We start from the raw sequence: 12,461 nt of genomic DNA, 5'->3' as shown, positions 1-12,461 counted from the left end.
TTTTTTTTTTTTTTTTTTTTTACTTCATTTCCCCAGAAAATTGCAAAGTGACTGGCAGCCAGGGGCCGTCATTTCCCTCTTCCTTTAATTTCTTTTTTTTTTTTTTTTTTTTTTGAGACGGAGTCTCACTCTGTCGCCCGGGCTGGACTGCAGTGGCACGGTCTCGGCTCACTGCACTCTGCCTCCCGGGTTCATGCCATTCTCCTGCCTCAGCCTCCCGAGTAGCTGGGACTACAGGCGCCTGCCACCATGCCCAGCTAATTTTTGTATTTTTAGTACAGACGGGGTTTCACCGTGTTAGCTAGGATGGTCTCAATCTCCTGACCTCGTGATCCGCCCGCCTCGGCCTCCCAAAGTGCTGGGATTACAGGCATGAGCCACTGCGCCCGGCCTCTTCCTTTAATTTCTGTACATGATTAGTAGCAAGACCTAGACCAACTAGAAGGAAGTTAGCCACCTCTGAAGAGAACATCACTAATTTCCTTAGCATGGCTTTCTGAATTGAAAAGGAGTTTGAACAAGCTGGCTGCATTTTTGGACCAACTACCGTGCTGAGACCTTTATATTCAGGTAATGAGTATTTGTGAAGCTCACATGAAATTCCTCCTTTAAGACTAGAAAACAAAAGTTCAATCCAAACCTTGGGATCGGCAGAAATAAAAACAGAATTGTTTACAAGTGAATGAGAAAATCTATTAACATCATGCCAGCTGCATATTCACCACCCTCCAGGAATGCATGTCAATCTGAATGTCATATCCTTAGACAGCTATAATAAGCGTAGGTAGGACAGAGTTTGCTTATCACCATTAAATGGTAATAAGTCCATTTCAAAGGGCAAATGAATGAAAAATGCACTTGAAAACTCATTGGATACACTAAGAAAAGGTTATCTAAACTTCATTGTAGACAGAAGACAAAAGCATATTTTAAGAAATTCTTCCTTAAAATAAATATCCTTTATTCATATTTTTATATATTTCATTGTCTTGGCTTATGTCTATGAATAGATACAACTTTAATTATTCAAAGGCAAACATGCCTAAGGAAAGATAAAGCGTTGACCGTATATCGCAGTTTGCCCAGGCCAGTTCCGGTGTATGCCTGGGTTTGGAAGAAGATCACAGACTCAAGGCAAATGGGGCTGGAATGAGAGTATGGTGTTGTTTAAGATCTGTTGGAGAGGGAATGAAAGGGACTCCATTCTTTCTCTGTATTTAGAGGTTGGATGAGAACTAGCACAGAAGGCCAAAGCCCAGGCTTTGAATTTTGCCCCCTTCACTTACCAGCATTGTGACTTTGGGCAAGTCATGGGACCTCTCTTGGGTATCAGTTCTTTTCAACTCATGGTGGAGTCTTGTGCTTGGTACAAGGATCACTTTATTAGATAGTTATAATTAAGCTGTTTCAAGAGGTAACCACGTAGGGAACAAAAGTCTGGAAATCTTACTGGATAAAATGAGTTAAAGCAGTGGTCCCCAACTTTTTGGCACCAGGAACTGGTTTTGTGGAAGACAATGTTTCCACGGATGGGGTGGGTAAGGGGAATGGTTTTGGGATTAAACTATTCCATCTCAGATCATCAGTCATCGGGCATTAGATTCTCACAAGAAGCAGCAACCTAGATCCCTCACATGTGTAGTTCACAATAGGCTTTGCACTCCTCTGAGAATCTAATGAAACCACAGATCTGACAGGAGGTGGAGCTCAGGCAGCAATGCTCACTCACCCACCACTCACCTCCTGCTGTGCGGCCCAGTTCCTGCAGGCCATGGACACCTACCAGTCTGCGGACTGGGGGTTGGGGACCTCTGAGTTAAAGAAACCACGGCTGCCTAGCTTCAAGGGATAAGAACAACAAATACAATAACATTCAAATACAAGACAGCCTTTAAAGAGATAAGAGATTATAAATTTATTTTATAACTGCAAAGGGCAGAAGTAGATCTCATGTGGTGGAATGAAAATAGTTCTGTATAAAAAACTATTGAATAATGAGATATATCTAGCAAATGGAAGGGGCTAATCTTGAAAATAATGCTAGTGAAGACAGGAAGCAGAGAACTTGACATTCATGTTTGTAAAAAAAAATCATGGGGGAGATAGTGGGTCAAGTTGGAGGGGGCCTGAGAAAAATTCCCGTGGAATGTGATAGTCCTTTATTTATCTTCCAATTCCCATGCACCCTTGTATATATCACTTCTTCGTGTTTTTGACTCCTAACTGCTACAGCTGATAGAGAATTCCAATCTCATGCTCCTATTGTAACGCATTCCCCGTTCTCTAAAAAAAAAAATCTCAAGAATCTCCAAAGTGGTAGTAGAAATTATTCATTTTTCCTTAGACGAGTTGCCTAGTGGTTGACAAGGGGCACGTCTGATCTGCCTTTCTTTTCTCTAGAACATACGGAATGGTTTGAATATTTATTATTGTAGTTAAAGTAACATTTAAAAAGATAAAAGAAAATGGTAAGCTCTATAGTCTTGAAATTCTCTCCGATCTCTCTTCCTTTGAGCTTGCTTAACCCTTGAATCACAATATCTGTTGAATCCCTCAGGTCATCCCTGCAGAGGGAGAGTACATAAGAGATAATCTAATATTTAGAAAGTATAACCCCCATTTGTACTCTATATTGCTCTATGCTGTGACACTATGTTGTAGTTGACTGTTTGCTGGTTTAACTCTTATAGCATAACGTAAAGCCCTTATGACCAGATGATGTGCCTTATTCACTGTCGTATCTCCATTGCCTAGCACACTACTTGACATAAGAAGGCAACCCATGCATAGTTGAAGAATAAAAGACAGCCCATTGCTTCTCTCCTAGAACTAACTCTACCAGCCTCTTCTATGCAAGATTCCCCCTCACACCCCAGTTCTATTTTACGGTAGCTTGGCACCTCTTTCTAAGGCTTCTTAAGCCTTCTCTCTTTCAAGCTGAGTACCAGTCATCTCTTACAGGCACACACTTCATTTTTCCACACATCTAAAGTTTCAAGGCATTCTATTTATTTCTTTCTTCCCTAACAATACTTTAATATTGGTTGATTAATCAAGTGCTACATTTCTATTTATTGAGCACTTGCTATAGTCAAACACTCTGCTAGATACTGAGAAATTTTCAGCCATGCAAAAAAATGTGGTCTCTGTCCTCAAACTCTAGTTGAGGTTTAAGATACATAAGTAGAATGAAAAAACTCATAGTGTCTTCCAGGACTCAGTTAAATGCTAAATAAATGTTAGTGCTGGCTTCATGAGCTTTCAGAAGAGGACCTTTCCAGAATGAGAAACTTGGAATCTTTAGGAAGCACATAGACATCAGTTAGCTTTTCAAAGGTAAAATGAACCTGGATCATAAGTTAGACACACAGACATTTTAAGGAAGGGTGATGCACTCTTTAACCTTATGCTTTTAACTCAACAAATATTCATTGAGCATCTGCTGTATCCCAAGCACCAAGCTAGAGACTAGTACTGTGAGTTTTCTGAAGTCAAGTGTGGTTTCGTTTTCCCTCATTTAATTCCAAACCATCCATGACCTCATTCATTCCTGCAGCTTTAACTACTACCTCCCAGTGTACAAAAGCCACCCAACTCTACCTGTCCACCCCTCAGATTCTTTCAGTAAGTCAAATCTTGGTTCCCATTTAAAAAAAAAAAAAAGTGAGGTTTGACGATTCTGCTCTACCCACTCTCTACCAGCCATTCCCACTCCCCTCCACCCAAAGGCATCAGACACCGCGAAGCTTACAAAATATGCAGACATTTAATTCCTTGCAACTACATAACCTCTCTAGTAAAAAACATGCTTTTAAGTATTCCTTCACACCACTGCTGCCTATTTGGGACTGGAGAGCCTTGTTGGCTTATGTGGACCAGCCTGCAGGATGACAGCCTATGTGTCAACAGACTCTTGGTGTTAGTGAAGACAATACTATTTTCATTCACTGAATCCATAACATGGGCCAGGAGAACTAGATGCTTTCTGTCTACAATAGCTTATCCTTACAGTAAGCTCTGTAAGAGAGCTATCATCTCTACCATTATATAAATGAAAAAACAGGTCACAGAAACAGCTCGCCCAATGTTTCACGTCTAGTAAGTATCAGGAATCAGGATGAAAACCCAGATCAGTTTGATTCCAAATGTGACACTCTTTTTAATACATTACAATGAAGGCAGATTAATAGTTTTCAGTGCCTCAATCTTATTTGGAATGTAGGGATGGATGGATTCTTATTTCTATCTGCCTCGGAATTACAATGCCCTTGACAACTGAGGCTTCCAAGGAAAATCAACAGCCTTATGTCAGTATCTAGGAACCTCTGAGGTATTCTTACTTTGCTGAACTATAGGAGGGAACCAGGCATTAAGGATAATAGTATTACCAACCCACAGATGGCTTATGGCCCAGGTGACCCCTGAGTCAGAGCATACAATCTGCAAAGGAATGTCTGGCGGAACAAAACCAGTGAACTTTCATTCATTTATTCATTCAGTTAATACTTGGCAAGCTTCTACTATGTGCCACACACACATTGTATCTGCAATGACGCTGCAGATACAATGTATGTTTTTAACAGGGTGTCTTGCCAGACCTAATACATATTTAATAAACCACTTGTCTTGGGAATGAATGTCCTTTGCCTATGTATAGAGAGGTTTTCAGCTGCAATGGTGCTCTGGCAGGAGGAGAAATACAAACAACTCTTAACCTCTGAGATAAGATTTTGACAGCAACGTGGTATATTATACCCACTGTGAGCAGTCCTTGAATGGAAAAAGCAAAAGCACATTGGGAATTAGACAGTCCAGGGCTCTACTCTCAGATCTGACATTTAATACTTTGCTGTATAATCTTAAATTATTTTGTCTCTAGGAGCCTCAATTCCACAACTGTAAGGCAGGGATAATAATGCCCACTGAATGGGTTGTTTACTCAATTATTTAACATATATTTATTGAACATTAAATTAGTCAGGAAAATAGATAGCACCTTTATTATTTTAAGCAGAAAGCAATGTAATTCAGGGTAATAATGTGCTTAGAAATTGTTTGAAGACTGCTAGTTAGGAATGGAGGCAGCTACAACCAAATCAGGTAACCTCAGGAAGCCGTTTCCTGAGCCACAGTTTGTTCCAGCCCTGAAGCTAGAGACCAACAGTGGACTGTGGAGTCTGAGGAAACTGTAAGATACTGTAGCAGTGCTGAGAGCCACAAAATCCTGTGATCCTGTGCCAGTCTGCTACTTGCCTTTAACATCCTGGAACTTAACAGAAGTTACTGTGGTTGAGAGAATCTAAACTGCAATTCTACTGACAAAAGGTTCTGAGCATATAGTTCTCGGGCTTCCTGATCTTGTAATACAGTGGGAAGCATGGTGGTGGCAGAGTTAAGGAACAGTGCAGAGGACCAGTAGCAAGAGCCAGAACAGGCACCTCCTATGTGCCAGGAACAGTTCTGAGAGTACAGGGATAAATAGAAGAGACAAATATTCTCATGTGGATCACATTTAATTGTTGGAGATTCATTGAGTTAATGTATTGATGCATTCCATAGAGCCAGAATTATAGCAGGTTCCTTAGAAGTATTTGTTCCCTTTTTTAAAGTTCTATATATTGGCCCAAGAGAATATAACACTCCGCCTCCTCTCCATGAGATTTCTGACAAGGTAAATAATTCTGAGATTAGAGAGAGAAGAGCTGGGGGTCGTGTCTTTGGGGCCAAATAGTGAGGTTTCAATACAGTGCTTGCTTTTTGCAGATAGAGCCATTTTCAATCTGTATTGACTTTGAAAGACATTTGGACCTGCCTCAGAGCATGTATTCTTTCCATAGATAATTCAGGCCATCTTTGAGTCTGGGGTGAAAGCTGTTTTGAGCACTGCAGATGCCCTTGTCATTATTCCAAGCTGTGGGCTACAGTGGGTAGACATGAACTTTGGAGTCAAACAAATCTGGCTGTCCTAGTAGAGTCATAAGTGGCAAAGTACTTTCTTTCTGCTGCTGTTTCCTTACCAAAAAAATTGGTATTTAAGGTAGACCATCTTTGAAGACATTTTTCAATACATGTGTATATTAAATGCACTCCAAGTATATTAAAATACAAATGTCCTATAGAGATACAAACATTGCCTCTTCACAGTAGGCATGAGGATGAGAGATGAACATGTCAGGGCATGTGTTAATGTTGTCATTTACATGAATGATTCATTCGCTCTGTCCTGATGCTTTGTCAGTCACCTTCATATCTGCCCCCAATAGGAGGTCACTATGTCTTGATTTCTGTCTTGAGTCGGAAGTGTAAGGTGTAGCGGATTTACTTGAATCCAGCATTGAGGGAGCCTTGCAGTGCCCTTTGGAGTCCAGGGTAAAAGCTGTCTTGAGCACTGCAGTAGCCCTTGTCCTTATTCCAAGCCGTGGGTCACAGCAGGTGGACATGAGCTTTGGAGTCATACAAATCTGGCTCTACTATTAGAGTCATAAGTGGCAAAGTACTTTCTTTCTGTTGCTGTTTCTAACCAAAAAAAAATTAATATTATAAAATCTAACTTGCTGTAGCAGCATGAGGATTAAATGAGACAAAATATATATTATCTGGCACATAGTAGGTGCTCCACACACGTTAATTTGTTTACCCACTAATAATATATTGTTGTAGATATTTCCTTTGTTATTTCAATTTATTTTTTATCTGAAAAATGATAGGAATAGTAGATGCTTTTTACATGGGCATCCTATGCAGAGTTTGTCTCCATAACAACTATATAAATAGTTATTATGAATAGTTATCTGAATAATAATTATATTCTCATCTAATAGATCCTGAATTTAAGCACAAGAGAGGTTGAATAACTCACCCAAGATCATTGCACTAATTCAGAGTTATAGGTGGAATTTAAATGCAAATGCTTTTTCCCCAGAGCCAGCACATCCCCCACAGCACAAGGTTGTCTCCCACTAACCTCGGGCAAAGCAGGAGAACTGGTATATTTGGTGTTTGAATTTTCTGTTACTACAAGCAGAGCAAGCAAAGGGCATCATGCAAAGAACATGATGACTGGAATCTTAAAAACACATCTTTGTTGTAGAGTAATATCAGTCTGCAGGGTTGTTGTTCACAAAACTTAGTATAATCTCCAACACTAAGCAGGTGCTTGATATAGGGTTGTGGATATTATTATTATGGGGGGAGTCAGAAGAAGAAGTGTACATATGGGGAGAGATGAGATGAGGGACAGAAGGAGGGAGACCAAGATGGGAGGAGGGAGAGAGGTCAAATAGTACAATTTTATCAACTTTCTGTTTATCTTTCCATCACTTTTTTCCATCAGCCACCCCCTTATGTACCTCAAGTCTTTCTCCTTCTGTCTATACTGCCTTGATAATTTTTATTTATGTCACCTTACATGTTAGTGTGTGACTTTATCTATAGTCACATGGGCAGTGTTACCAAGGTGACGTATTATATCATATGTGCTTCTTGTAGAAAATGGCTATAGGTAAGTGTCCTAAACATTGTTAAAGAAACATGGGACCATCCATAAAAATATATGCACATACCACCCCTGGAGGTAGCAGCTACTGGACTCAGGCTGATGGTGGCTGCGCAGGAATGGGGGTTCAGTGGCATCAAACTTTTCACTTTTTGGGTAGCCACCAATGTGGATTTTGTTGTAAAATTTTTAATTTTTAAATGTTAACCCTTGATTCATATTTCTGAAGACACTGTGAAATAAAAGGGAACATAATTGTGGGTCACATATGGTTGGCAGTCTGCTGACTTATGACCTCTTCCATAGCGTCTCTGTCACAGAATCTTTCAGATTACATGTTATTACATGTTATTGTTTCTGTGTATTCTTCCCACTGGGCTAAGAGCTCCTAAGGGCTAGGTTATGTCTTATTTTTCAAAAATCAGAGACACAGTAGATGCTCAAAAGAAAAAAAATAACAAAAACCTATCCTTTTGCACATTTTCTTTTTCTTAAAGTATGACCCTCTATTTACCCTCCAGAACAATCTTTTCGTATCTTAGTCTTCTCAGCTATACAACGTTTATTTGTAAAGTTCTAGTCGTCAGAAGTCACAGTGCTTAAGCAGATATTCCAGTCTGGGACAGAACCTCCAATTTAGGATTCAGCAAATAATAGCATTGAGATAGGCACTCTGAGGGCCACAAAATGAAAAGAATGACATGACCCCTTAAACACTTGATAATCAAATGGGCTGTATTTTAGAAACAATTACATAACAATACAATTTAGTACAAGATCAATACAATATAATACAATACAGTTTAGTATGCAAATGGGAATTCAGGAAGGGCGTGTTCTTATAGTGTGTGGATTAAAGGGCAGGCTCTGGAGGCAGACTGTCTCCTACCAAATCCCAGCTCAGCTGCTTACTTAGCCTTTCTGCTTTCCAGCTTCCTTGTCTATATCATGAGAGTAATCCCTACACCACCAGGGTTGCACACAAAGAAAGGCAGAGCCCCATTGACATGTTAGCCTGGATGAATAAGATTGTAAGAAAACCTTACAGGCCAAACCTATTGGCCTGCCAGGTGAGTAGCCTTATAGGACCTGGGGGAAATAATCACCCAAGTTTTCCAGAATTTGACTGAAAGATTCAGGAGTAAAGAAGGGTAAAGGAGTAAGCAAAAAGAGATGGAGTGCAATTGTATGCTTTATGTATGGGCAGAGAGGATTATTTGGACTCCTGCAGATGCTCTGGTCTGGGTGTGGTCCAAGAATGCTGTCTCTCTCTCCCTCAATCTCTCTCTCTCTCTGTTTTATTAACTATTAACTAATCCCCGTGTGTCTCAGTTTCTTCATCTGTAAAATGGGATAACAGTACCTACCTTATAGACTTGTTAAATGAGTTAACACAGGTAAAGTTCTTAGAACATTTGATGACAAAAGTAAATGCTTAAAATATGTTGGCCATTATAATGACTGTTATCCCATAATCATTGTTGTATTCCTTATGTGTATCAGAAACTACGACAGGCACTGAGATATGGAAGTACAGAATATTATGGGCAGCCAAGGCAATACAAGACAGTAAGTGAGAGTACCATATCTGGACAGGAGGACCTGGTTTCAGATCTGGGATTCTTCATTTAGTTTCCACCTAAGTAACCTGGAGCAAGTGTCTACTTCTGTAAACTGGGTGATGCTACTACACACCACAGGATTGTTGGGAGAACAACTGAGATAAATTGCTACATATGGCATTCAGTATAGCTCCTGGTACATTGTAAATGCTCAATACTAGAAAGAGTGATGAAACCACTAGAGAAGTGGTAAACTTCTTTAAGGTGCTTAAAATGCAGAAAACTGAAGAGTATATGCAATTCCAGGGCTTTCCAAAAGATAAGCTATTTTTCCAAGTTCATTGTTACATTGCTCAAGCAGTGTTTTCAAGTACTAGAGCAGACTGTGAATAGGAAGGTGGGTCATGCTGGGCAAAAGTGAATTTTACTAAGCTAAAAGCACTTATTGTTTCAAGCATGAAAATTCATTGCAAATCATTTCGCTTATAAAAAAATGAAAGTCAAATGGTGTCAGTTACAATTGCAAAATATACTTTAGCTACTAAGAATAACTGTTTATTATCATTGTCATTCTGTGAAGCAGAGAACAGACTTAACCTTTGATCTCTTTGCTGACAGTTGGATATAATTAACATAATTATGGTTTGGACTGATCATTTTTGGCAAGAATTTTTCTTCTCTCATCTATCTGTTGGAGATTTAGATTATTACAGTAAAGAAGCACTTTTTGGAAATAATAAAGTCTCTATATATTTGTTTCCATCCTTCTTAAGAAAACAAGAACATAAAAATGTAATTTTTCAAAAAGCCCATTAGATATAGAAAGTATCAAGTTTAAAATCTCTTAGGAATTCACTATAAGCAAATAAGAATCAGGGAACATTATGAGGCTGGAGTAAAATTAAAAGATAGTAATAGAAGTAGCTAATATTGTGGGGGCACTTCCTGCTAAGTGTTTTCCAGAATTTAGCTCTGGTATGCCCATAACCATGCAGCCAAGACTGGTTTGGCTATTATCCTTATTCCACAGAGGTCACACAGCAGAGCCATGTCTTCCTTCCTCTGCAGCCATGTCTTCTTTGATATGTGTGTGCTCATGAAAGAAATCTGAGTCTATTTTTTATAGGCAACTATTGGTGTTCTCTTGGCCCAATGCTTTGGTAGCAAGAAGATTGTTAAGAATAGACAATATAGGCTGGGCGCGGTGGCTCACGCCTGTAATCCCAGCACTTTGGGAGGCCAAGGCGGGCGGATCACGAGGTCAGGAGATTGAGACCATCCTGGCTAATGCGGTGAAACCCCGTCTCTACTAAAAATACAAAAAAAATTAGCCAGGCATGGTGGCGGGTGCCTGTAGTCCCAGCTACTCGGGAGGCTGAGGCAGGAGAATGGCGTGAACCCGGGAGGCAGATCTTGCAGTGAGCCGAGATCGCGCCACTGCACTGCAGCCTGGGTGACAGAACGAGACTCCATCTCAAAAAAAAAAAAAAAAAAAAAAGAATAGACAATATATAAAAGCACGGACTACTGGTAAACAACAGTATAACCAAGACAAAGTTTACTGATAACATTTACCAAGTAAGTAAATAACTGATACCTTTGGTTTACCATGGTGTGAGCTTGGGGAAAATGTTAGTGCCAGAAGTGGGATTAGAACCAAAGTCTCTTAGCTCCTAGGCTATGTACCAACTAATGGATACCAGCCTTTCATCTAAGCAGTGTTAAGGCCTCACTCGTGATTTTTCACCTCACTCCTGCTGATGGGGTTAGTGAGCTAGGGAAATCAATTCAAGAGGTCTGTTGTTTTGTTAGCCCATCCAATTGACTCATGATGCCAGGCACTAGGTGTGTTTAATACGTTTTCATTGGAGTTGTAGCAGCAGGAAATTACAGACAGAATAAGACAAGTTTTAATCTAGATGTTATAATAAAGAGATATGGAAACACTGATAAGAGAGCAACTCTTGCTGACTGAAGCTTTATGGAATGTTGACTAGAGGAGGTGGCATTTGCACTGGGTCTTGGATGACTGAGTAGGATTTCAGGAGGCACTCATGGGGGTAACAAAGGCCTTGTAGGGAGAAGACCTGGAAGTATGAAAAACGTGACTATTGGAGGTTCCACCTCTTGGTGGGGGTGGAGGGAAGCAAGTGGTGGAAAGGGAGATGTTGGCCTCTGCATCAGTGAGTGCTAAGCAAAGGGGTTGACAACCTAAGCATCATCATCCCGTATTGGTGTTGTGTACACTTGACTTCAGTTTCACATATTAATATTTTAATTCATTAGTGATATCTAAAGTACAACAAAATGTAGATTAGCAGATTGCATTGGGATCAATGTGTCCCTTTAGGAATCAATAGAGGGAGAGAGAGGAAATGACTTTTCTTGAAGAATGAATTGGTCATATACTTGAAGAAAGGTAAGAATAAATACATTTCCACCGTGGAAGGAATTCTGACTTGAGGAACAACAAGTTTTCTATATTATTCTTCCTCTACTCATTCTTCCCTCCCTCCTGCTTCCCCAAGTGTTCTACTGGGGAGGAAAAGTAGGCAGAGGAATGAATGTCAGGCTCAGGAGGAGAAGTTCTGAGTGCTACCAGGCATTCTGTCTCATCTGCAGAGGCTAAGATTGCTGGAGAGAAATCTGACCAGGACCCACCTTGGAGAGGAAATGATGGGTGGAAAGGCCCTGAGGCTCTAAGACAGTTCTTGTTGCCTGCAGGGATTCAACCGGGCCTGGCATCATAGTACCCTGTAGTCACTTTCATTTAAGCAGATTGACACTTTTTGAAAAGCGATGTTTCATTGGAATGAGATTTTGTTGGAAATAGATTCAGTGATGACTCTTAATGAGTGTCACCCTGCTGACTGTTCAGGGTTGTGTTCTGCATGCCATCTGTTAACATTTCTGAGTTCTCTGCAAAACCAGCAAGTGCTGCAAGATGTTCCCTGACCTGCGTAATCTCAGACATGTTATGGCCAGATGAGTGGGGTGCTGACCAGGGTGCCTTTGTGGCACAGCCTTTCCTAGAAGGCTCAAGTTGCACCTGCAGAATTCCTACTGCACTGTTTAGGCATCTTTGAGGAGATGTCAGGACTTGGATTAGCACAACTTCCCCAGAGCACTGTGATGCCAACAGCTTACAGCTGAAACAGTAAAACAGTATGTGACAGCAATTCAGGGAAAAGAAATACACATTGGGGGCAGTGGAATAGGTCCTTTTGGATATGAATTTGGAGAATGAAACTTTGGCAATAAGAATGGGAGAGGGGTTGGTAGGCCAGGGTATATGGGTGTGGGGAGCTGTTTCCTGAGCTATTAGTTGGCCTAAACACTCTCAATTAAAATTTCCCTTTTCTTTAAAGGAATACAATGTAAATGATAAAATCAAATATCTTCAG

General features: G+C 40.3%; 1 protein-coding gene and 1 long non-coding RNA gene across 64 annotated transcripts in view; one reads left to right on the top strand and one right to left on the bottom strand.

The window, feature by feature from the left end:
* Window positions 1-12,461, top strand: part of DLG2 (discs large MAGUK scaffold protein 2) — a 2,173,362-nt gene that overhangs the window by 1,960,284 nt on the left and 200,617 nt on the right. The window lies entirely within an intron of this gene.
* DLG2-AS2 (DLG2 antisense RNA 2) overlaps window positions 1-12,461 on the bottom strand; it is an 87,698-nt gene that overhangs the window by 57,301 nt on the left and 17,936 nt on the right. The window lies entirely within an intron of this gene.

Source organism: Homo sapiens, chromosome 11, assembly GCF_000001405.40.
Source record: "Homo sapiens chromosome 11, GRCh38.p14 Primary Assembly".
Taxonomy (NCBI): domain Eukaryota; kingdom Metazoa; phylum Chordata; class Mammalia; order Primates; family Hominidae; genus Homo; species Homo sapiens.
Note: the sequence above shows the minus strand (reverse complement) of the source record. Positions and strands in the feature narration are given on the sequence as shown.